At 42.8% G+C, this 26,687-nt stretch overlaps 1 protein-coding gene across 20 annotated transcripts in view, besides 1 other annotated feature; it reads left to right on the plus strand.

Moving 5' to 3' along the window:
* Positions 1 to 26,687, plus strand: part of KIAA0232 — a 101,438-nt gene that overhangs the window by 260 nt on the left and 74,491 nt on the right. For 3 of the 20 annotated variants that reach the window (XM_047416442.1, XM_047416455.1, XM_047416452.1), the window contains exon 2: positions 2,420 to 2,575. The exons of 4 other annotated variants lie outside the window; for them this stretch is intronic. The gene's annotated coding sequence lies outside the window, so the exon portion shown is untranslated. Of the gene's footprint in view, positions 1 to 789; positions 2,576 to 12,952; positions 13,060 to 21,536; positions 21,621 to 26,687 lie in introns of those variants that run through there. 13 more of the 20 variants (XM_047416441.1, XM_047416449.1, XM_047416456.1 and 10 more) reach the window with 8 other exon arrangements.
* Positions 61 to 830: a silencer, noted in NCBI's record as "silent region_15238". NCBI's record gives its function as "represses an Ori minimal core promoter by ATAC-STARR-seq in GM12878 lymphoblastoid cells {active_cell/tissue: GM12878}" and the evidence as "EXISTENCE:reporter gene assay evidence [ECO:0000049][PMID:35858748]".

Raw genomic sequence — 26,687 nt, forward strand, 5'->3', positions numbered from 1 at the left:
AGCCCAAGGGAGACAGGGCCGCCGCCGTGGGCTCTGGGGCCAGCCTAAGGGAGGCCGAGCCGCCGCCGAGGGCTCCGGGGCCAGCCTGAGGGAGACCGGGCCGCCGCCGGGGGCTCCGGGGCCAGCCTGAGGGAGGCCGGGCCGCCGCTGATGGCTCCGGGGCCAGCCTAAGGGAGACCGGGCCGCTGTTGATGGCTCCGGGGCCAGCCGAGGGAGGCCTGACCGGCCCCGATCCTGGTGGTGCCCGGGCGTGCGGGTGAGCTGTGGGCCCTGGGACCCCCGCCCCGACCCCAGGACGCCGGGACACCAGCTTGCGGCTCTTGCGCCCGGGTGGGCTGTGGACGATGAGTCCGCACAATGGGTTGCCGTTGGCTGCCTCCTGCCTGGGGCAGGTGTCGCCGCGCCGGGGCGGCTCTTCTAGGGGAGACGAGGCGGGGGTGCTTAGACTTGATAGGACGTAGAGCCCCGAAAGTGGGCGCGGGAGGAAGGCTTCGGCCGGTGGGAGGCGCCCGGCGTCCCCGGCAGCGGGGTCAGGCCGGCAGCCTGGGCCGCTCGCTCGCGTTCCCTCCGTTCCCCTCCCCTCCAGCATTGTCCTTTTGGGGCCCCGGGAAGGGAAAACCGCCGGGCGGGGGAGGAGGGCCGCAGGCGGGCGGGGCCGGGAGGCCGGCTGAGCGACTGGCGCGCCGGCCTATGGCGCGGGGCGCGGCGCGGGGGGCGGGCCTGGCGGGCGGGGCCGGTGCGGCGCAAGGTTTGGCGAAGGTTACAGCTGGAGCTAGGAGTGACAGGCCCACAGTCATCCGTGCGCTGCGCGGCAAACCCTGTCGCGAGGGCGCCCCGAGTTGCTGCGGGGCCTGATCCGGCTCCTTTCCAACAATACGCGTCTGCAGCCGGCATTTCTAGAGCTCTCTGCTTCTTCCCGCTGGAGAAACCAGTGTGTGTCGTGTTGGAATGCTTCGTCTTGCCCTAGAATTCAGCTTGCGTCTTGTGGTGCGCAGGTGACAGGACCTGCCGAACTCTTGGTACAGACCCCTAAATCATGGCAGAACTGTCTTGATTTCTTTTTTGCCACCTTTCCGTTTTTGTCCTCTATAGGCAAGCTATAAAGATTTAACCCAGTTAAAAACAGGAGGGAGATTCAGCGGAGAGGAGGCATGCGAGATTCTTTGGAAAAAATTATATAAATGTAGTTCTTGCTAATAATTACCTGGGTTGGATACTTTGACTTACTGTTCAAGTTCCTAAGAAGGGATTTTACATTTCTGGGTCTTGTTTTAAAAACTGTTAGAAAGCTCGTGAGGGGGTAGGGACAAGCAGTTTTGGTAATAGGCGATGCTGTGGATAAAACTGTGCGGTAAAATGCCCAAGCTAGATTCTTCCTATGCAAAATAAGACCCGTTCCAGAACACTTTGACCATTTCGTGGACTTAGAATTTAAAGGCGGGTGAGGGCGGGGGGGGAGGAGGAGCGGATTCTATCACTCTGCATCCTCAAGGTCAAATATTCTTCCATCAGTTATTTTGGATTGAACCATTCTTAAATAGGTCTCAGGATCTCTATGTCGCTTCCTTATGACAGAACCTATTTCCGAGAGTGTGCCTTTGCATATCTATAGAAGCTCCTTTCACTTAATATATCTTATAACTCAGATTCAATTGCTGTACTTGCTAAATAATGCATTTTTAATCATTCAAAAAGTGGTTTACAGCTTCCTTGGGTATAATGGTTTTTATGTAAGCCCGTTACATCAGTGAAATGCCAGTTTTTAAACATTGAAGGGAAGGGAGAATATTATTCTTATTTATTTCCATAGGAAGTAGAATTCAAAGTGCAGGTGCTTTTTTGTTTGCTTTGGAGAAAAAGTATAGGTCTTTAACATGACGTTAACAGAAGTCAAATCTAAGGATAATTAGCTTGTTATGCAAGTTGCAAACATTTAAGAAGATCAGATGAATTTTTTTTTTTTTTTTTTTTGAGACGGAGTCTCGCTCTGCCGCCCAGGCTGGAGTCCGCGATCTCGGCTCACTCACTGCAACCTCCGCCCGCCGGGTACAAGCGAGTCTCCTGCCTCAACCTCCCGAGTAGCTGGGACTACAGGTGCATGCCACCACCCCCGGCTAATTTTTTGCATTTTTAGTAGAGATGGGGCTTCACCGTGTTAGCCAGGATGGTCTTTCTCTCCTGACCTCGTGATCCGCCTGCCTCAGCCTCCCAAAGTGCTGGGATTACAGGCGTGAGCCACCGCGCCTGGCTGATTAGATGGATTTTTAACACTTCCAGTGGTAATATAGGGTAATGTAGCTAGCCTACTCTGTGCTATGTTGTACGGTAGCACTCTTCAAAAGAAATTAGATTGTTCTTGTTCTTTATTTTTCATTGTGTGGAAAAGTGCTGAGCCTGCGCTTTGTCCTTGTTTTTGTAGCATTTGACTTGGCAGTTAATGGCTTGTGAGCTAATTTCCTCATCTGTAGAATGGGAAGATTGATGACACCTGTTTCACAGAATAGTTGGGATGATCACTTGAGGGAAGACGTGAAATGTCGTCAAGACTCAAACCCTTTAAAAATACTCGCCTAGTGTAAGTGTTAAAACCTCAGATTACTTGCTTTGCTTAAAGTTTTTAACTTTGTCTTCAGGCTCCTCGCCACCCCTTCCTATCCATTCTTTGCCTGGCTGCCAGAGTCATCTTTCCTGAGCTCAGATCTTGTCAGTCTCTGGCTCAGTAGGCTTCTAAGACTGCCTGTGGTTTGGAGCTTAGAATTCAGAGATACCAGCATCACAATGCAGGCCCCTTGCAGTCTGGCCCCCAGTCATCTCTGTACTTTATCTTGTCCTCTTTGTCCCCTTTCCACACTGTCCAGCTAAACAAGACTGCTCTTGGTTCTCTGAACATGCCAAGCTATTTCAGACCTTCTTTGCTTATATTCTTTTCTCTTATTGGAATGTCCTGTCTCACTCCCACTCCCTCCAGTTCTTAAAAGTTCATATCAAATATTCTGTTCTCTCTGGAGTCCTTTGGAAGTCCTATTACAATGAATTATTCCTTTCCTCAATCATAGTTCTCTATTTTTCCTTCATTATTGTCTATATCATGTTGTATTATAAATTGGTCATAGTAAACTCTGGCTGTGGTGTCTATCCTATCATTTTGCCCCCAACACCTTGCTCAGGCGTTTAAACATAAGTGCTTAATGTTAAATGTAAGTGTTTAAATGTTTGCTAAATAAAGTCAAAGTCTGTAATCAACCTTAAAGAGTATGTTAATATTATAAAGTATATTTATTTTTATTTTTTCTGACCCTGGCTTAAGTCTGCAAATAAAGTTTGTTTGTTTTTGAGACAGCATCTTGCTTTGTCACCCAGGCTTGGAGTGCGGTGGTGTGATCGTGGCTCACTGTAGCCTCAACCTCCCAGGCTCAAGTGATCCTCCCACCTCAGCCTCCTGAGTAGCTGGGACCACGGGCATGCACCACCATGCTCAGCTAATTAAAACAATTTGTTTTTTTGTAGAAACGGGTCTCCCTGTGTTGCCCAGGCTGATCTCGAACTCCTGGGCTCAAGCAATCCTCCCACCTCAACCTCCCAAAGTGCTGGGATTACAAGCATGAGCCACCGCACAAGACCCAGATGAAGTATTTTTAATAAACATCGGTGCCCACAACAACATTAGAAATGTAGTTTTACTATGTTGAATATAGTTACTATTTAGAATATTTCTTTACAGTTATTTTTGGTCTTTCACATAATCACATAAGTGGTATTTTATACAAAGTAAAAACTGTCATCTTTCCCATTTGTATCTAAACTTGTAGGGTCTAATGAAATAGATGAAGTGCCTGCATTGCTGACTGTGAATCACCGACCCATTTTTTGGGCAGAGGGAACCAGAGCACAAGGTTAAAAATATTCCTTGTATTGGCCGGGCGCGGTGGCTCACGCCTGTAATTCCAGCACCTTGGGAGGCCGAGGCGGGCGGATCATGAGGTCAAGAGAGTGAGACCATCCTGGCCAACATGGTGAAACCCCATCTCTACTAAAAATACAAAAATTATCCGGGCATGGTGGAGCACGCCTATAGTCCCAGCTACTTGGGAGGCTGAGGCAGTAGAATCTCTTGAACCCGGGAGGTGGAGGTTGCAGTGAACCAAGATCACACCACTGGACTCCAGCCTGGCGACAGAGCAAGGCTCTCTCAAAAAAAAAAAAAAAAAAAAAAAATCCTTATATTTGAAGTATAATTTAATTCCCAAGAGATTACATGCTTTTTCTTTAAAAGTTTTCTTTTTTAGAAATTTATTATATGCATCAAAAGCAATTGCGTTTGAGGGGGCTTCTTAAAAGAATATTAGAACTGGATTTGAAAGACTCAGGTTTGCTTCTTGGCCGTGAACAAGTTTGTTAAATCCCTTTGGAAGTCAGTCAGTCTTTATTTGGGAACTGAGAACGGTTATTCCTGTTGCTTTGTAGTACATTTAAAGAGGCTATGCTTTGTGTACTGCACATCCTTACACAGATACAAGGTAATCAGATGTTTTGCTTTATAGCATTTTTGTCCTACTTGTTACCCAGCCTGGAAACCTTTAGAGACTTCCTTTCTTGACCAGATTTTTACCAGGTTTGCCTCCATGAGTCTTTTCCATCAGTCTTTTTCTTTACTCTTTCATGTTTCCTCTGCCCCTACCCTCCCTGAAGCTCTTACTCCTTATGAAGATAGTTACTGTAGTCCTCCAACTGGCCTCTCTTTTTTCTGGTCTCTCCTCCTCTGTTCTGTTGCCAGAATTATTTAATAGGCAAATCAAATCATATCATGACCCATTTCCCAAGTATACACCAGAGGTTCTCAACATTTCCCTCTATTCCATCACACCTGAGGGATACGACAGTTTTGTTGGTAAGGTTATGGGCTTTCTCCTCCCAAGATTTTTACCTTGGAAGTGCTACCACACTCCTCCCCTGGTTGAGAATTAATGTTAAAGAGTTAGGAAATCACTGTAAGATCTTTGCTATCTAGCCTCATTCTTACTTTTAGCTTAATCTTTTATTGGATCTCTTCTTTTTCGTTTTTGTGTTTTTGAGACAGGGTCTTACTCTGTCACTCATGCTGGAGTGCAGCGGTGCCATCTTGGCTCACTGCAACTTCCACCTCCCTTCCTCCTGCTGCCTTGGCCTCCTGAGTAGCTGGGACTACAGGCACATAACGCCTGGCTAATTTTTTGTAGAGATGGGGTTTTGCTCTGTTGCCTAGACTGGCTTCAAACTCCTGGGCTCAAGTAATCTGCCCGCCTTGGCCTCCGAAAGTGCCGAGATTATAAGCACGAGCCACCACGCCCAGCCTGCATCTCTTCTTGTCACCTTATATTTCAACACAAGACCTCTGGCCACTTCCGTTATTGGCAGACTACTCTGAAATATCCTTTCCACCTTTCTCTCTCTTTCTGAGTCTTGGAGTCTTGGCTTAAATGCTGCTACTTCTATTTCTGTAACCTGATTTTCAGAATTAACTCATTATTTTTCTCCCACACAGTGCTAGCCTGATACCTCTACTTATCTATTTTTTCCTTATGACTTTTTAGTTTATATACATGAAGGTCTTTCCTGGATTATAAACTCCTTGAGAGATGTAGAGGAAAATCTTAATCATTTCTGATTTCCTCTAGTGTGCAATATAGTCTTTTACATAGTACTCATTTGTTAAATGTTTGACTGAATTAACTCAAAATTTACAGTCTCTGATTTCAGGAGGAGGAGGATAGAGTTGGAATAACTTTGTATGAGAACTTAGTGAATCCACGTGACACACTCAGAACAGGGCCCAGCATATAGTAAGTGCTCAGTAAGTGGCAGCTTTTAGCTATTAATTTGAATAGGTGGAGACGACACTAGTGGTTGGATACACTGGTTAATTGTATATGCTAGTTTATTATGACAGTGTTCACATATTTATTTCTGGTGTGTGTGTAAAGAAAAAAATCTCATTTTCTTTCTTTTTTTTTTATTTTTATTTTGAGACAGAATCTCGCTCTGTCGCCCAGGCTCGAGTGCAGTGGCGCGATCTCGGCTCACTGCCAACTCCACCTCCTGGGTTCACGCCATTCTCCTGCCTCAGCTTCCCGAGTAGCTGGGACTACAGGCGCCCGACCACAACGCCCGGCTAATTTTTTGTATTTTTAGTAGAGACTGGGTTTCACCGTGTTAGCCAGGATGGTTTTTATCTCCTGACCTCGTGGTCTGCCCGCTTTGGCCTCCCAAAGTGCTGGGATTACAGGACTGAGCCACCATGCCCGGCCTTTTCTTTTTTTTTTTTTCCCGAGACTGAGTTTTACTCTGTCACCCAGGTTGGAGTATAGTGGCGTGATCTTGGCTTACTGCAACCTCTGTCTCGTGGGTTCAAGTGATTCTCCTGCCTCAGACTCCCCAGTAGCTGGGATTACAGGTGCGTGCCACCATGCCCGGCTAATTTTTTATTTTTTAATAGAGACGGGGTTTCACCATGTTGGCCAGGTTGGTCTTGAACTCCTGACCTCATGATCTTCCTGCCTCGGCCTCCCAAAGTGCTGGGATTACAGGTGTGAGCCACCGTGCCTGGCCAGTCATCTCATTTTCAACTTGCATCTACGTTCTTTCATTAATTTTGTGACTGAGTTGGAGAGGGCTTTTGCATAAACAGATTCATGATGGTGGTCCTAAATTATTCTGAAGACAGGCAAACCTGTCTGTAGATGAGCAGGTTTTTTGCATATGGCTTAAGAAAGTCTGGAAAATTGGCCAGGCATGCTGGCTTGCCTATAATTCCAGCACTTTGGGAAAGCGAGGTGGGAGGATCACTTGAGCCCAGGAGTTTGAGATGTGCCTGGGCAACATGGTGAAACCCTGTTTCTACAAAAAAATTTTAAAAATTAGCCAGGTGTGGTGGCACATGTCTGTAGTCCCAGCTACTTAGGAGGCTGAGGCAGGAGGATCGCTTGAGCCCAGGAGATCAAGGCTGCAGTGAGCCATGATTGCACCACTGGACTCCAGCCTGGGTGACTGAGCGAGACCCTGTCTCAAGAAAAAAAAAAGAGTGGAAAATAGAAATTGTCAAAGTTTACACTATACAGTATGTTATTTTCAGGAAAGCGAATGTTTTCACTTTAATCTTACATCTTGTTAATATACATTAAGCAGTAGAAACTTCCTCTTTGGTATTTGGAATGACTGTTGAGATTTCTGTTTCTGACATCTTCCCTAAGTGCTTACCTGTTGCCAGGCTTTCTCCATATCTGTCTCTTCCTCAGTGTTGCCCCTGGTTGAATAGGGAGAAGATAGGGAAAACCAGCAGTAATTATTTCAGAATTGTTCACCCAGTTTGGAGATTTTTTTCAAGCCCTTCCTTTTTTTATTTAATTTTTTTTTTTTAATTAAAAAAGGTCTTTTTTTTTTTTTTTTTTTTGAGGCAGAGTCTCACTCTGTCACCGAGGCTGGAGTGCGGTGGCACGATCACAGCTCACTACAGCCAGGACCTCCTGGGCTCAAGTGATCCTCCTGCCTCAGCTGGGACTACATGCTCATGTTACCACTCCTGGCTAATTTTTATTCTTTTTATGTAGAGACAGGGTTTTGCCATGTTGCCCAGGCTGATATCAAACTCCTGGCCTCAAGCGATCCTCCCGCCTTGGCCTCTCAAAGTGCTGGGACTGTGGGTATGAGCCACCATGCCAGGCAAGCCCTTTATTAGATGTCTGATTAGTATGTTGCTCCTTGCTAGCATTTTCCCTAAATATTTTAATGGAGAGAAAGTTGAAATAGAGTAGACATGTTTTTAATTCTTTCTTTGGTTGTTTTCCTTGCCACTGCTTTCTTTGGTTAGTTACCATCATAGATAATTGAGTCCTGATTCTACTTTTGTTAATCTTTTGCCAGTACCATCTGAAGGAGTTTCTTGTTTTTATATACTTTTTTTTTTTTTTTTTTTTTTTGAGGCAGTCTTGCTCTGTCACCCAGGCTGGAGTCCAGTGGTACAATCTTGGCTTACTGCAACCTCCACCTCCCGGGTTCAAGCGATTCTCCTGCCTTGGCCTCCTGAGTACCTGGGACTACAGGTGTGTGCCACCATGCCCAGATAATCTTTTGTATTTTTAGTAGAGATGGGGTTTTGCCATGTTGCCCAGGCTGGTCTCGAACTCCTGAGCTCAGGCAGTCCGCCCGCCTTGGCCTCCCAAAGTGTTGGATTACAGGCATGAGCCACCGTGCCTGGCCTGTTTTTATATACTTTAAAGTTTAAATTAAACTTGTTAAAGTATGTGTTTTGTATGATTTGCCAAAACATTGGAATACAAGTAGCTGTCATAAAGCCTTTTTTTTTTTTTTTTTTTTTTTTTTTTGAGACAGGGTCTCATTCTGTCACCCAGGCTAGAGTGCAGTGGCACAATTATGGCTCACTGTAGCCTTGGCCACCTCCCAGGCTCAATTGATCCTCCCACCTCAGCTTCCTGAGTAACTGGGACTACAGTTATGCACCACCACACCCAGCTAATTTTTAAATTTTTTGTAGAGATGGGGTTTTACCACGTTACCCAGGCTGTTCTGGAACTCCTGAACTCAAGCGATGCTCCTGCCTCTGCCTCCCAAAATGCTGGGATTACAGGCGTAAACCACTATGCCTGGACTCAAGCCGACTTTTTAACATGAACAATAAGTCTCTTTCTTCATCTCCCTTCCTATCCTGTATTCATCTTGCCTTGAAGACCACAGATAAATTTTAAAAAATGGAATCATGGTAAAGAGTGTTCTTGTGTCATTATTTAAACAAACACTAAACTTTGTATCTTGGAATGCTTTCCATATCAGACATACAGATTGATACGGGTTGGCTGTGTCCCCACCCAAATCTCATCTTGAATTCCCACATGTTGTAGGAGGGACCTGGTGGGAGGTGATTGAATCATGGGGACAGGTCTTTCTCATGCTGTTCTCATGATAGTGAATACGTCTCATGAGATTTGATGGTTTTAAAAAGGGGAGTTTCCCTGCATAATCTCTCCTCTTTTGACTGTCACCATCCATGTAAGAGGTGACTTTGCTCCTCCTTGCCTTCTGCCATGATTGTGAGGCCTCTGCAGCCACGTGGAACTGTAAGTCAATGAAACCTCTTTCCTTTCTAAATTACCCAGTCTTGGGTATGTCTTTATCAGCATTGCAAAAACAGACTAATACACAGATCTACTTTAGGTACAGATTTGCTTTACCATGTTCTTTTTTTAATATGCCTAGTATTACCTTGTGTGAAGGTGCCTGAATTTATTTAACTAGTTGATATGAAGAGTTTCCAGGTTTTTGTTATTTGTAACACAGTGCTACAGTAAACATTTTTGTACATATGTCTTAGTGAACTTTCATGAGTAACCACCTTACTCTCAGCAGCCTTAAAAAAATTGACCAACAAGTTTCTAACTACTCTGAATAATCATTTGTCATGTTAAAAATTTTCTTGGTGGCTATATTAGTTTTACTACTTTTGTTAAGGCCGGATGTTTTGTTTTCTGAAGTAGTCCTGTGAGATAATTTCATACAATTAAGCACAGATTTTTTATATTGCATGTAGAATATTAAGCTCATAAAGTTTATAAAGGCACAGGGTTGGCTTTATGAGCCTGTAATTGCATCATACAGGGCCCTTGCTTGCTTCAGTGATCTGCTGTTGTAGTCTTGATAGTCTTAGGTTTTTTTTTTTTTGTTTTTTTTTTTTGAGACAGAGTCTCACTCTGTTGCCCAGGCTGTAGTGCAATGGCATCATCTTGGCTCACTGCAAGCTCCGCCTCCTGGGTTCACGCCATTCTCCTGCCTCAGCCTCCTGAGTAGCTGGGACCACAGGTGCCCACCACCACGCCCGGCTAATGTTTTTGTATTTTTAGTAGAGACGGGGTTTCACCATGTTAGAATGGTCTCGATCTCCTGATCTCGTGATCCGCCTGCCTCAGCCTCCCAAAGTGCTGGGATTACAGGCATGAGCCACCGTGCTCGGCCATTCTTAGTTATTTTTGAACTCAGAACCCACATTATTGTTCTGCACTGGGTCCCACAAATTATGTAGCCAGTCCTATGAAGACTTCATAAAAACTCGTAGTAAGAACCCCTCATCCTCTCATCTCCTAATCCTGTTCCCTGTGAGTGACTACCATTAACATTACCTAATGTTAACTAATTAACTAATTACCATTAGTTAATTAAGTAATTACCATTAGTTTATCCACTTGGGGACTTTTTAGAATGTGTATATAAACAACATTGCATATTATGCTTGAGCCATTAAAAAACAACTGTTTATTTGAAATCCACACAGAGTCAGTATGTATTTTCCTGAAAAACTCCATAATGGATCACGAATGCTACAGACTTTCAGAACATAGAGGCTCTAAAAAACTTAGCCTTAAGAAGTTGGTACTGAACTGTAGTTTTAGATTTTGTATTGGTTTGTGTTTGAAAAAGTATGCTTAACTTGAAGCTTTAGCGAAACAGCCTAAGTTTCAGTGTTAAGATAGCTATCTCTGAGATTTCACCTTGTAAAATGAAGTAAAACCTTAAGCTCATCATAGGCGAGTCAGAAATGAAAATAAAGTTTATTCATCAGTCAGGTTCAATTGAATAAGAGATTCACTAGGATTATTTGGTGCTTTCTTAAAAAGTGGTCAGAATTCTTGGTGAAGTAAAAGGGCTAAGGATTCTTAGAAGTAGCTACAGAAAATGGATAAGGGGAGAGTGAGCTAACACTGGTTAACCGTTCTAATCTGTTAGGGCGTTGTGTTAGGGACCTTAGATAAACCATTTAATGTAAGCCTCCTGAGAACTCTGAGAGAGATGGGATGGTTGTCATTTTACAAATGAGGAAGCTACAACTCAGAGAGATTCCGAAAAACTTCCCTGTGGTCACAGGTAATATATGGCAGAACAGGAGCCCAGACTTCCGTCCTTCCAACTTAAAAGTTCATGTTCTTTCCGCTTCCCTACTCTACCTAGAGATCTATTCATTCATAAAGTATTTGTTGACTGCCTACACTGGGCTAGGTACAGATGCCAGGATGGATTAGACATCCAGGAGGTTTATTGGGGGAATTAAGGGTAAGGCGAGAGGAAGCAGGAGTAGTATGTAGGAAGAGCCTTTTGACTTCCACTTGGTCGGATTCCCGTGAAGAGAGGAGAGGAAGAGTGGCTAGGAACAGCCTCAGGTCACTGTACAGTTCTGAGAAAGTCTTGACCAAGCTGATGGGGAATTCTCATGCTGAAGCTGTGCATCCTGCACCGGACAGAAAGGCCTGAGTCTGTTATCCCTTTCGGATTAAACCATTAGTTGGGGGCAGCCTGATGGAAGCATGGCTTGGTGTCAGTGCTGTTGTGGTTCTGAACATGTAGCAACTTGAGGCTGTCAGCTTAGTTTCCTGTAGCAGCTTCTCTTGAAGGGTGATCTGAGCAGGGCACCTTCATAGTGGCTGCACACGGTCCTGTCCTGGTGGGTGTGGGTAGAAAGACTGATAATACAAATAAGCAAGTAGATGCATATGTGAAGTGAAAATTAGTGCCAAGGGGAAAAACAGAGCAAAAGATGGGGTGTTGCATCGTATGTGGTGGACAGGGAAAGCCTCTGTTGACACTTGAGCAGAGACCTGAAGAGGAAGAGAGAAAGATGTGGAGATACCTGAGGAGCAGAGCATTTCGAGGGGTAGAGGAGAGCAAGTGAAAGGCCTTGGTTCTGCATCCATGATGAAGGTACACCTAAGAGGGTTTGCTGATGGACGAGATGTGGGATGTGCGAGGAGGAGCCATCATAGCGTGGGGTTGCCCTTGACTGACATGGGGAAGGTCATGGCAAGGGTAATGGTGGTGAGAATTCAGGGTTGTGTTGTTTGGCTTTAGACATGTTATAAGTTTGAGATGCCAGTCAGATATCTCCTTGTCTAGTAGCTTGGTAGCATTAGAGTTCTGGAATTAAAGAGAAAGAAGCAGGGTAGAGGGAAAGGATGGAGCAGTCTCTGCATAGGTGGTATTTATAATCATGGGACTAGAAGAGGTAAGCCAGATTGCGCAGTTAAATAAGGCAGCCACAAGCCACATGTTTTGTTTTGTTTTGTTTTTGAGATGGAGTCTCACTCTGTCGCCCAGGCTGGAGTGCAATTGCATGATCTCGGCTTACTGCAAGCTCCGCCTTCCGGGTTCATGCCATTCTCTTGCCTCAGCCTCCTGAGCAGCTAGGACTACAGGCACCCACCACCACGCCTAGCTAATTTTTTTGTATTTTTTAGTAGAGACAGGGTTTCATCGTGCTAGCCAGGATGATCTCGATCTCCTGACCTTGTGATCCGCCTGCTTCAGCCTCCCAAAGTACTGGGATCACAGGCGTGAGCCACCGCGCCCGGCCCACATGTGGCTTTTGAACTTTGCATGCAGCTAATCTGAATTGAGATGCGCTGTGTCAATTATGTACCAGATGCCAAAGACAGTGTGAAAAATTACAATGTAACATATATCATTAATTTTTACCTTCATTATATTTGGAGTGATATTATTTTGGATATACTGGGTTAAATCAAACATATTAAAGTTAATTTCACCTGTTTCTTTTTTAATATGGCTACTAGAAATATATTTATTTATTTTTTGAGCTAGGACATCACTGTCACCTAGGCTGGAGTGCGGTGGTACATTCACAGCTTCTTGCAGCCTTGGTCTCCCAGGCTCAAGTAGTCCTCCCATTTCAGCCTCCTGAGTAGCTGGGACTATAGGCATGCGCCACTGCATCCAGCTAATTTACTTTTTTTGTAGAGACTGGGTCTCACTATGTTGCCCAGGCTGAGCTCAAACTCCTGCTCTCATGCAGTCCGCTTGCCTTGGCCTCCGCAAGTGCTGGGGTTACAGGAATGAACCACTGCACTTGGCCTAGAAAATTTTAATTACATATATGACTGGCATTATTTTGCTCTTGAAGGCACTGGTGGAGGAAGCGAATGGAAATAGAGAAGTCCAAGGGCAGAGCCTGGAAAGCTGGGAAGAGGAGGAGCAGCCAGCGGAGGAGCCAGCGAGGGTGTGGACTGGGTGAGGAGAGGATGATGAGAGGTGTGGTTTGTGCGTAAGTGAGCTGCACTAAAATTTGATTAGAACTTGAGTAAAAGGAAAGTATCAGAAACTAGGTCTAATTAATATGTAATATGTGGAATTGGTTATTCGTAGAAGTGAACGAGTCCTGGAGATGGTCTGTAGGATCAGGATAGGATTGAGATCCTTCCCTATATTGTTCTTTTTTTTTTTGGAGACAGAGTCTTGTTCTGTCACCCAGGTTGGAGTGCAGTGGCACGATCTCAGCTCACTGCAGCCTCTGCCTCCTGGGTTCAAGCGATTCTTATGTCTCAGCCTCCCAAGTCACTGGGACTACAGGTGTGTGCCACCACCCCTGGCTAATTTTTGTATTTTTAATAGAGACAGCATTTTGCCATGTTGACCAGGCTGGCCTCAAACTCCTGACCTCAGGTGATCTGCCTGCCTTGGCCTCCCAAAGTGCTGGGATTGCAGGCGTGAGCCACCACACCCGACCATATTGTTCTTTTTTAAGTGAGTTTCATGCCACCTGTTTAAAGAAAGCTCTAACATAGCCTATCTGAGGAATCAATCATGATAGTAGAAAAGGAAGCACACATTTATAAGATTTGACACAGTTAGTGCAAGAAGGTGACTCTTATGGCCCTTAAAAGTTTGGTCACACGGTTTTCTTTCAGCTTGTAATCTTCACTTAGTAAAACTACCATAAGAATATCTTACCTTCCTTTTGCTCTTTCTGAGCTCGTAGGGTGTCTTTGAGAATGTTCAAGTAGGCTCCTTGAGTGGCCTTAGCTACCGTGATGGGAGGGCTTCGTTTCCATTCTTGGTTTTCTGGTTTATATGTTGGTCACTTGGTTATGTTAGTCAGCATCCTTTGGCACTGCCTTCTGTCCTGATCATCTCATAGGAACAGACTTTGGGACATTTACTGACAACAGTCAGTTGGAGAGCCTTCCTCATGCAGCACGTCGACTTCTTTTTAATATGTTGGTAGCTATAACAGTGTAGTATCAGGCAGATTGTTTTTTCTTTAGACATTATACTTTTTTCCTCTGTATTTTATTATTTCATTTCCCAAAAAACACACTTGCACATTTAAGAGCAGTGTTTTAACAGTTTTTTCCAAAGCCATGAGATAGAAACTGTCATGGAAACTGAAGCTCCTCTGACTGGAACTTACTTAGGCCTTGCCAGGGTGGGCAAAAGATGACGTTGAAAAAGATCAGGTAGCACCCTGCATTTTGCCATTGGCTAAAGTGGGGTCAGAGCTGGTTGCCATTTTCTCTCTGTCTTGAGGTTCAGGCCTGTCATCTTCTCAAAATGCCTCCAGGCCTGTTGGGACAGTGAACAGTAATGGCCAAACTAAAAACTTTAAGAAGGATATGATATGCTAAATGCAGGGAAAAAGACTTCGCTTTAACCCTCAACAAATGTATAAAGAGGGCCGGGTGTGGTGGCTCACATCTGTAATCCCAGCACTTTGGGAGGCCAAGGCAGGAGGATCGCTTGAGCCCAGGAATTCGAGACCAGCCTGGGCAACATAGCAAGATCCCATCTCTTAAAAAAAAAACCTAGCTGGGTGTAGTGGTGTATGCCCATAGTCCCAGTTACCTGGGAGGCTGAGGTGGTAGGATTGCTTGAGCCCAGGAATTCCAGGCTGCAGTGAGCCATGATTGCACTACTGTGCTCCAGCTAGCCTGGGTGACAGAGCCAGACCCTGCCTCTCAAAAAAAAAAAAAAAAAAGGCCGGGCGCGGTGGCTCACGCCTGTAATCCCAGCACCTTGGGAGGCCGAGGCGGGCGGATCACAAGGTCAAGAGATCGAGACCACGGTGAAACCCCATCTCTACTAAAAATACAAAAAATAGCCGGGCACAGTGGCGGGCGCCTGTAGTCCCAGCTACTTGGGAGGCTGAGGCAGGAGAATGGCATGAACCCGAGAGGTGGAGCTTGCAGTGAGCTGAGATTACGCCACTGCATTCCAGCCTGGGTGACAGAGCCAGACTCCGTCTCAAAAAAAAAAAAAAGAGAGACATAAAAATGTTTGAAGGAAAGGCTACAAGTTAAACGAGGAGTGAATAGTATGATAGAAAGGGCACCAGCTTTGGAGATAGGGCACATACATGATGGCCCTGGTTTTGACTCTCCATGAGACCCTAAATACCTGTCTAAATTTCTTAATCCATGAAATGGGAGGTTTGGCTTAGCTTATGCTTTTTCATGTTGTGAAAGCAGTGTTTGATGCTGAGTAGGTGCTCAGATGTTGATTAAATGAACAAGGAATAAAATAACTATAGAGAGCCTAGGTACTTAAGGCATGAGCCAGGGGTCAAGGTGATGGGTATTGGCCATCCCCTGCTCCTCACCTGTCCCACCTTAACCTGTGTAGTGTAGCATTGGCTACTACTACTTTGAGACATATTTGAACAACACTAGGTTAGGTAATCCCTTTCTAAGCTTAAATATGTCATGCTTCTGATGCTGACACCAACCCTTTTCTTTCTTCTCAGTTACATGCTTTATTTTTGAGACAGGGTCTCGCTGTCGCACAGGCTGGAGTGCAGGGGTGTGATTATCGCTCACTGCACCCTTGACCTCCAGGGCTCGAACGAGCCTCCCACCTCAACCTTCTGAGTCTCTTGGACTATAGGCATGTGACATTATGCCCAATTAATTTTTTATTTTTTTGTAGAAATGGAGCCTCCCTGTGTTGTCCAGGCTGGTCTCAAACCCCTGGGCTCAAGCCATCCTCCTGCCTCAGCCTCCCAAAGTGCTGGGATTATAGGCGTGAGCCACCGTGCCCAGCTGCTGTGTACTATTTACTAAGATAAAAGTTGCACGAGAAGAAATGCAGTTTCATCAGGTGTAGGGGAGGAAGTCAGAGGTGCTGTGTTTGTTTCCTAGGGATGCTACAACAAAGTACCCCAAACTTTGATGGATGGCTTTTAACAACAGAAGTGTATCTTCTCACAGTTCTGGAGGCCAGAAGTCCAAAATCCAAGTGTTGGCAGGGCTGGTTCCTTCTGGAGATTCTGAGAGAGAGCTTGGTCCATGCCCTACTCTTAGCGTCTGGTGGTTATTGGCAATACTTGGCATTTCTTGGCTTGCATTGGTACATTACTGCAGTCTCCGCATCTGTCTTCACGTGGGATTCTCCCCTGCATGTCTCTGTGTGAATTTCCCTCTTCTTATAAGGACATCAGATCATTGAATTAGAGTCTCTTATCCAATTTAGGTGGCTGATAATCTAGTATGACCTCATTTTAACTTGATTACATTTTCACAGACCCTGTTTTCAAATAAGGTAATGTTCACAGGTAATGGAGTAAGGACTTGAACATACCTTTTTTGGGGGAAACAGTTCAGTCCACAGCAGGTGTTAAAGTTGGGGGTAAACAATTTCTGAAAAATTGTGACTCATTTCCTCAAATTCATCTCTTTACATTAAAGCTAGGTCTGTCAGAGGAATTGGGATAAAACAAACATAAAATTCACGTCTACTAGAAAGTATCAATTTGGCCTCAAGTCAAAATCGTGGATGGCATAGCCTAAGACTACATAACTATTAGAAAGACTCTTATAATAGAGACTAAGAATTCTGTTTTTTACACATTGGGTTTTTGCTTTGAGATTAGTTGGGTTTTTTTGTTTTTTGTTTGTTTGTTTTTTGAGTCGGAGGCTCGCTCTGTTGCCAGGCTGGAGTGAAGTGGCACAATCTCGACTCACTGCAACCTCCGCCTCCTGGGTTCAAGCGATTCTCCTGCCTCAGCCTCCCAGGTAGCTGGGACTACAGGTGCCCGCCACCACTCCCGGCTAATTTTTGTATTTTTAGTGGAGACGGGGTTTCACCATGTTGGCCAGGATAGTCTCCATCTCCTGACATCATGATCCCCCCGCCTCGGCCTCCCAAAGTGCTTGGATGACAGGCATGAGCCACTCCGCCTTGCTGGCTTTTGTTTTGCATATACTCTGTTTTCTTTTTCTTTCTTTCTTTCTTTCTTTTTTTTTTTTTTTTTTTTTTTTTTTTTTTTGAGATGGAGTCTCACTCTGTCGCCCCGGTTAGAGTGCAGTGGCATGATCTCGGCTGACTGCAACCTCCATCTCCCGGGTTCAAGTGATTCTCCTGCCTCAGCCTCCCGAGTAGCTAGTATTACAGGTGCCCGCCACCATGCTTGGCCAATTTTTGTATTTTTAGTAGAGATAGGGTTTCACCATTTTTGCCAGGCTGGTCTCGAACTCCTGACCTCAGGTGATCTGCCTGTCTTGGCCTCCCAAAGTACTGAGTCATCGTGCCTGGACTTACGTATGCTCTATTTTCTTGATGTGTTCTGATTTTATTATATTTGAAAATTTGGGGCCAGATGTGGTGGTTCATGCCTGTAATCCCAGCACTTTGGGAGGCCAAGGCAGGCGGATCACCTGAGGTCAGGAGTTCGAGACCAGCCTGACCAACATGGAGAAACCCCATCTCTACTAAAAATACAAAATTAGCTGGGTGTGGTGGTATGCACCTGTAATCCCAGCTACGCAGGAGGCTGATGCAGGAGAATCACTTTAACCCAGGAGGTGGAGGTTGTGGTGAGACGAGATCATGCCACTGCACTGCAGCCTGGGCGACAGAGGGAAACTCCGTCTCAAAAAAAAAAAAGAAAATTTGGAGGAAAAGACCTTGCTCATTATACTTGTTTGAATTCTGTAAATGAAGTAAGCAGAATGGCAGAAATGTCATTTGGTAACATTTTATATAGTTTTGGGTCACATAGAAAATGCAGAGCCAGGTTGGCTCCTGGGCTCATCACTCTGAAAGGTTATGTGAGGGGGGTGATACGAAGAGCCCAGTTAGGAAGGGCAGGCAGGTTCTTAAGGGTTTGTTCAGTTCAGCAGTGCTTTTCCAACAGCTTATTAACATGGAATGTAGTGGGAATACAAATATAAATATAGACAGAGTTCTTGATAATTTGGTCATAGGATAATTTGTAATTTTCTTAGTTTGTAGGAAATTAAGTTCAGCAGCTGGGTATTGAACCAGGATGTGGAATTGTCAGCATTTCCCCAAATCTTGATGTGTTAGACCTGTTGTGTCCAGTAGAACTTTGTTTGATAATGGAAATGTTCACTGTCTTTTCTATTCAGTATCCACTGGCTACATGGGGCTATTAACACTGGAAATGTGGCTTGTGCCATTAAAGAACTGAATTTTCAATTTTATTTAATTTTAATTAATTAAAATGTAAATAGCCACTAGTGGCTACCATATTCATTGGACAATGCAGTTCTAGAGATTCATTTCACCTTTGTTCAGTTCACCTTTGTTCAAAGAATAAGTGGATGGTGGTTATAGGAGACTGAAAAGATGCCACTAGGCCAGGCATGGTGGCTCATGCCTGTAATCCTGGCCCTTTGGGAGGCTGAGGTGGGAGGATTGCTTGAGCCTAGGAGTTCGTGACCAGCCTGAGCAATGTAGTGCGACCCTATCTCTACCAAAGAAAAAAGCTGGACTTGATGGCCACACACTTGTCGTCTTAGCTACTCTGGAGGCTGAGGTGGGAGGATTGCTTGAGCCCAGGAATTCCAAGCTGCAGCGAACTATGATTGCTCCACTGCACTCCAGACTGGGTGACAGGACGAAAAGGAAAAAAAAAAAAGAGAAAGGTGCTATTAAGTGGCTTACAGTGCTTAGGACTTTAATTAGCATATCCATGTTTTTAAATGTAGAACATAGGGTTTTCATAAAGTAGAAACGTGGATTCTGGTTTATTTGCAGTACAAAGAAAAATACAGGGCCTGCGAGGATGATCATTTTGTGCATGTGCTGAAATCATACTCTTTTAGCTTTAGAAGTTATTTGTATACATGCCACCATTACCTTCCAGATAAAGTTTGTATCCCTCACTGTGTATTGCACATAATAAATACCCACTAAATGGTGGTGGGTATTTATTTATGCAATAAAGGGGCCCTTGATCCTGATAGGGCTGTTAGTTCCTTCATGAGTGTCACAAGTTGGGTTCTCTGGGAAGGCGGGTACTTTGGGAAGCAAATGCAGACAATTTAGCATGCAGAATGTTGATTAGGGCTTGCTCGTAGGGTCCAGACTCAGGGAATGGAGAAGTTGAACTACCTTGCATGCCCAATTATAGCATAGCCTTGGCCAACCCCATTAGAATAGCCCGTGGGAGCTGTCCCGGCTTGGGCTGGGTAGCCAGGCCTGTACGCTCTCTGAGTCAGTCAGGATGACTTGCCTGGAAGAGGGCAAGATGTCGGGTGAGGCAGTTCTCTGTAGCCACAGCAGTACTTGAAGGGGCTGACGGAGCACTCCCAGCAGCTGGGGCTGCATGGCCTTCAGTTGAGGGTCTGGGTTGTACATCACAGCGTGCCATGGTTGGACAATATTTTTCTTAGAAATTTTTTGATTGATTTCATTTGACTCATTGGTTGGCGTTCTGGAGAAATATGGGGTAAGTCTCTTTCTCTTTCTCTGTGACTCTTCTCAACCCCCCCCAACCCACCAGCCCCCTTACTAAATAACTATGTGTGTGTGTGTCTTATGTACGAACAGAGTTACAGTGCACAATTAACCTTTTCTTCTGATGGAAGTTGACTCCAACCAGAATGCTTCATCTTCACGTCTTCCCCAAGGACATAAAGACAGAAAGGGGATTTTGCTATAACATAGAATACAGAGTGGTGATTCAGGTATAGAGCAAGGTGTGGTATGTTGGTGATGTAAGGAGCACAGAGGAATGAAATTAATTGGTGTGAGGTTCTCTCAAGGAAGGAAAAAATGACAGAAGGTTGAAAGAAGAGTAATAGTCGAATATGAGTGCATATAGCTGGGGGCAGTGGCTCATGCTTGTAATCCCAACTCTTTAGGTGGCTGAGATGGAAGGATCACTTGAGGTCAAGAGTTCAGGACCAGCCTAGGCAACATACTGGGCATACTTGAGCAACATACTCTGTCTTGACCAAAAAAAAAAAAAAAAAAAAAAGCCAGGTTTGGTGGGTGCATGCTTGTGGTCCCTGCTACTGTGGAAGGTGAGGTGGGAGGATCACTTGAGCCCAGGAGTTCTAGGCTGTAGTAAGCTATGATTGTACCACTGCACCTCCAGCCTGGATGACAGAAGAATACTTTACCTCTTGAAAGAAATTAAAATGAGTGCATATATATATATATATATATATATGGACTTTCTCATATAAATTGAAGCCCAGCTCCCTTAAGTTCAAATGGAAATATTCCATGAGTAGTTGGAAATATAGATTGAGAAGACAAGGTAAGAGAAAGATTTGTAGGGGGTGACTTTTGATAAATTACACAAATCTTTGACATTATCAAACATGAATGCCAAACATTGAAACATGAATGTTCAAGGGTCTGTCACACAGCTCTCAAGTTATCTGGTTACTGGTAGTTAGGTAATAGTTGGAAGATTCCAGTAGTTACGTAGTTACTGGTAGTTAGAAAATACTTGAAGGATTCATTTGGATAAGATTACCCTGATTAAAATTTCAAGTATAGTAATTTCTTTCTAGAGTTGTCTAATTTCATATTCACTTAAAGAGAATACTTTTTACTAACCTCAGAGTCAAGTATTTCATGTTAAAGAACTTGACCAGAATTTATAAAAAAGGAATAACCAATTTTATATTTGACATGAGTCATTTGGAAGTGGATTTTTATGTTTAATGTTTGGATTGTTAGCTATTTTCTTTCCATGTTTGTTTTTCCTTTTCTGAGCCATACAGTGGGTATTTTTCCTACCTATTTTCTTCCTTTACATTTACCTTGTAACATAGTATTTGTGACTTGAACATATCTGAAATTTTAAGGAGATATCCTTATAGGGCTCTACAGATAGTCATTTTTGAGGGGAAAGGTTTTAATTAACATAAAATTCCAATCCAAGATGTATCACCTTTGTTAAGTGTGGCACTTTGCTGAGTATTTAAAATGTGTTTTTGAGAATGTTACATGTTAACCTGTCTTTAAAGTATTTGTATTTGAGGTTTTGAGAAATATATCTATTTTATTTATTTGGGGAGAGTTCCATAAGATAAACATCACAGCTAGTAGGAATTCTCAATGTGTTTCCCAGATTCAAGGATGCCTTAAAGTGCAATTAAATTTGGTAGCATTTCTAACACTTTTAGCAGCTGTACCTAATACTTAGCAAATGTTTGTTAAATACAGGTATTCCTGCTCTAGCGGGCCTCCCTCCACCAGCCCCTGGAGTGCTCCCTCTTGTTCTGGTACATGAACACTAGTGTGCCCTACTCTGCCATCCTCAGTTTAGAGCCACTGACCAGTTGCGTTCATTACCTAGTGGAAGCTCTGCCATTAACATCCCATTATCAGACAGCTGTCTTTTGGTCCATTAAAAACTGTGATTGCTTTGTAAAGTGTTAAGAAACCTAAGATCATTTTAATGATGGTAGGTACGTCTTTGATACTAAAATGCCTGCTTCACTGTTGTGTAGGTAGTGTACACTGATAAAGGTAGGGCGCGGTGGACTCTGCCCCTGTAACCGTTCCGGAGAATGCGTTGAGAATGAAGACAACCAGTAAGTCCCTAAGTGTATGTGGGAAATGGGAAAATGTGGAAGTTTCTGATACCATATAAAAGGGAATACTAATTGATTTACTGTATAGAATAGTACAATTTATGCAAGTTATTTAAAGGAAAGGAGATGAATATAATTAATGATCTTATTCCTAAATTACATCTTCAGTTTAACTTTTTAATCCTGGGAATTCTGGATATGAAAACCTCAGGTCAGGTGATCTATGCCTTGCTTATATTAATAACTTGGGCCTTGGAGAAAATTCTTTCTGATTAGAACATCTCCTGTTTCCCAAGCTGTGTTCCAAGGAAGCAAAACGGGTCAATGAATGAATGAATGAATGCTCTCCTTCTTGGAGGTTCCGGGTGCATATTAGCCTATTAAAGGTTTCAAGATGTCCTGCAATAAACCTGCTCTTGTTTCAGCTTTGATATTTCCCTAATTTATGCAAAATGAAGACGTTTATGGCAAAGGAATATATTTTTATATCACCCAGAGTATACTTTGGGGAAACTGTGTAGCAAGTTATCCTTTAAATGATGACACTGTTTATTTAAATATCTTCCTAGGGTCCAGAAGAATTACTATAGTTATCTTCAGAACCATATCTAAAGGCTTGATTTAATGTTGGAAGCATATAATTAATGGATGAGAAATGAACATATGTACTACTTTGATCCTATTCTGAGTTCTCTAGTGTGTATCTTTTTGCATAAACAGAAAATTTTATTTGGACTCTTTAAAATTTTTAACTATTAGGATATGAATCAGATAATCCATATAAACTTTTCATATAGAATTAGATTATTGACTGATATAAACACATTATTGAAGTATTGCTTCTTACCTAAGTCCGTTTTGGAGAACTATAATTTGTATTACTTGGCTGTGGCTTTTATAGTAATTTTAAAAATGTTAACTCACTGTCTTACCAGTGAGTTACAGAATTTTATGCTACCTTTACCTCACTCATTGAAACTCAGAAGATATTTGTGGTTTTGAGTTTAGTAATTGAAAGCTGTAGAATTTATATGCCCAGACATTTTGAGGACCAACAGTATCACATTGTAAAATTATTTTGGTACACTATGATATAGTATTTTATATGATAAAATGTTTCAACGTTGACAAAGTGGGTTTCATCATGTTGGAGCTTTTTGCATTTTCAAAAAGTGTAAAAATTACTTATTTTAGTTTTTTTCCAAGTAAGCTTAGGGTTTTTGAAATTTTGCATTTCTTAATCTGTAGATGTTTCCATTTTTCCTAATTGAAATTTTTAAATTTCTAAAATTTAGTTGTTTCGTCCCTTTTCCAACAATTTTTCCAAAAGCTTTTAGAATTTCATAATAATTTTGTTTTATCTTGTTTTTGCATTTTGTTTAGTTGCTATTTTGTTATCTTTTGCAAGGAAGGAGGAGGATTTGCTTCAGTTGTAAGTGTATACATTTTCCTCTTCCCCTTGGGCCCAAATGTTTTCTCCTTTTGTCCTGTAAAGTGTCTGCTGTGAGGTTTACCCCTGCTAGGTAAAAAAGGCATTTTTTTAAATCTCCATAACTTTTTGAAGGCATAAAAACTGCCATTTTGTAGCCCTGCTAAAGAATTTTGACATCTAATTGGTCTAAGTGAACTAAATGTCTACATTGGTTATTATAATTTGATAACCTGTAAAAAAAAATTTTTAATATGGCAGTCCAGCTTTTCAAACCAGAAATATTAACAGATGAATAAGAATCATCAAATAACTGGAATCAAGTATAAGTTAGACATAAAACAATGTAACTTTGCACAAGCAGTTCATCTCCATAGTACAATTAAACAATAAGTTCAAACAGTAACAAAACAATAAGAGGCCTGGCGGTGGCTCATGCCTGTAATCCCAGCACTTTGGGAGGCCGAGGCGGGTGGATCACAAGGTCAGGAAATCGAGACCGTCCTTGCTAACATGGTGAAACCCCGTCTGTATTAAAAATACAAAAAATTAGCCGGGTGTGGTGGTGGGCGTCTATAATCCCAGCTACTTGGGAGGCTGAGGCAGGAGAATGGCATGAACCTGGGAGGCGGAGCTTGCAGTGAGCCAAGATCATGCCACTGCACTCCATCCTGGGTGACAGAGCTAGATAGACTCCCTCTCAAAAAAAAAAAAAAAAAAAAAAAAAAGAATTAAAACAATAAGAACATACAGGCTGATCGAAACTTTCAGGTCTGTGAGCATTTGACAGTAGCATTTCCTCAGTAGAGGAAAGTTTATCCAGGTTGCATAGAAAGCTTTTCCCTTTTATTTAGTCTCATTACACACTAGATCTAGCTCTCATTTGTTTTGTTTTAATAGAAGTCTGTTTAGTACTTCTGAATCTATGTAGAACTGATCGCTTTCACCTACACTTTATCATTACAAAATTGGTTTTTCCTTTTTGTCTGTCTGTCTGTCTATCTATCTATCTATCTATCTATCTATCTATCTATCTATCTATCTATTTAAGACAGGGTCCTGCTATGTTGCCCAAGTTGGCCCTGTACGCCTGGGCTCAAGTGTTGTTCCTGCCTCAGCTTCTCCAATAGCTAGGATTATAGGCACACACCATGGCATCCAGCTTTTCTTCCTTATCTTTTAAACATAAAGATCAACCAGATTAACCAAATCTGTTACAGGCTTGCAATTTATGAAAATATTTGCTACTTCTCTTGCTATCAAGTAGTAATCTTATCTATAAGAACAATCCTGTTTATGAAAATATTAATAATTCATTTTAATTGTCACTGGAGCATATATACTTACGTGTTTATTTCTGATGACTAGTAAGCATGGAATTTCTCAATCTTTATGCAGTTTTTCCTCTTTTTGTAGAAAGAACTCAAGTCTCACACTAGTTTTGTTGATTACATTACTTTTTAAAAAGCCTTATTCATTTCCTGGGACTTGACACACTTCTAGAATGGGGAAGAAAACTGTAGGTCTGATTGTCCATTTCTACGTAGCTTTTCAGATACCTAGGGTAAACCGGTTTACATAGTTTATAGCCCTTGGTTCCTGTTTTCAGTGCTTGAATTCCAGTTTGGGTTGTAGATTCTTTATGGATTTTCTCTTCTGGCTGTAGATTGGCTTTGGAGCCAGGCTACCTACTAAAGAGAATAAGCATTATCTTCAGTTCCAAATTCATGTGCTGAGATCAGAAAATAACAGACAAGGCCAGGCACAGTGACTCATCCCTGTAATCCCAGCACTTTGGGAGGCCAAGGCAAGTGGATCACTTGAGGTCAGGAGACCAGCCTGGCCAACATGGTGAAACCCCATCTCTACTAAAAATACAAAAATTAGCTAGGTGTGGTGATGTGCACCTGTAGTCCCAGCTACTCGGGTGGCTGAGGCAGGAGAATCCCTTGAACCTGGGAGGCAGAGGTTTCAGTGAGCTGAGATCATGCCACTACACTCTAGCCTGGGCAACAGAGTGAGACTATGTCTCAAAAAAGAAAAAAGAAAATAACAGACAAGAATTATTTATAAATGTATAACTACTTAATTGTATGTTTGCACTCTCTGGCTTGCCAGGCAAATAGTATTTAGGATTTTGGTGAAAAGTAATAGAGTCCAAAAGCCAGAGTCTTAATATTTCAAATATCTGTTTTCTTTATGCTCTTTTCTATATTCTTTCTTTTACTTTATGTTATATATCCTTTATGCCTTCCCCCTCAAGTCTTTTCCTTATGTGAAAGTCCTGTAAACACCCAAATTGAATAATTATGAAAAGACAGTTGCAGGTAATGCAGTGTCTTGGGTACTGAGCACACCAGCAATGTGAGTATGAACTTTGTAGTGAGAAAGGACCAGTTAAAAATATAGAGAGTTCAAGCATGACTTGCAGAAGTACCATACTAGATCAAAGGGAATGGTAGAGGGCTTCTGTGGGAAGAGTACAAGTTGCTTTACATAAGGCGAAAGCCTGCTAATACAGGATGGTAAATACCTAAAGGAAAATCCTGAGAGAGTCATGATTGTCTCGATATCACTGACACCAGGCACAGTGCCTTGTACACAAGAAACCTCTAGTACATGGGATCGTGAGAGAATGAGTTAAAATTCCTATGTTAGTTAGTCCCTGCCTGTGGACTCAGAGTGTGATCTGAGTTGGTTTTTTCTCCCACCTGCTAGTATTATGAATATCATTTTATTTACCAAACTTCTCTTTTTCAGAATTTATTCTCCTCCATTTAGATTTGGGAAGTAGTTAGTTCAGCACAGTTTTGATCACCTGCCAAGGCCTAAGCATTCTACTAAATGGTACATGTGGAGGATGTCACAGTTTGGCCTGAAGAACTTTAAGCCTATTTGATGAGGAACCCATTCCCAGGAGGCAGTTAGAGAATAGTATAAAAGGACATCATCACAAGGCAGCAGGTCATGAGGACAGCCAGCACTCTATAAGTGTTGGGAGGAAGACAGTGGTATGCCCTTACATAATTAGAAAGGGCTTCTTCAGGAAGGCAGGGCAGGAATGATTCCATTGCCAGTTGGGTGTTAGTGTTTCAGCCGTGTCTGTGCTTTCTGAAACTTTTATGATCCTATTATTATTGTCTTTGATAGTTTGTCTGTGTTTACCAGAATGCTGGTTTCAATAATGTTAGACTTCAGAGTTGTTTCCTTAATATTAACAGCCTCATATTCTACCCCTTGAAGTGGTCATTAGGGCTAGTGATACCTGCCCTATTAAAGTGAAGTGAGGCTAAGAGACTTGCTTTGACTCATAAAATGTGAGTAGCTCACTTCCAGGAGGAAGCATTCAAAGTACCAGTGCCAGCTTTGGTGCAGATCTTATTTTCTCTGGCCCCCTAGACTAGCAGGGTTCAAGATAATGGCCATTTTGTCACCCTGTGTCCCAGAATGATTATGATGAGTGATTACCCTGATCATCCCTGCCAATCCAGGATGAACACATAGTATGAGAAGGATATAAACCTTTGTGGAAGTCCTAGTAAGAGAAATTAAGCAAGAGAAAGAAATAAAAGGCATCCAAATTAGAAAAGAGGAGGTCAAATTATATCCCTGTTTGCCAATAATATGCTCTTATATCT

This window comes from Homo sapiens, chromosome 4 (genome assembly GCF_000001405.40).
Source record: "Homo sapiens chromosome 4, GRCh38.p14 Primary Assembly".
Lineage (NCBI taxonomy): Eukaryota > Metazoa > Chordata > Mammalia > Primates > Hominidae > Homo > Homo sapiens.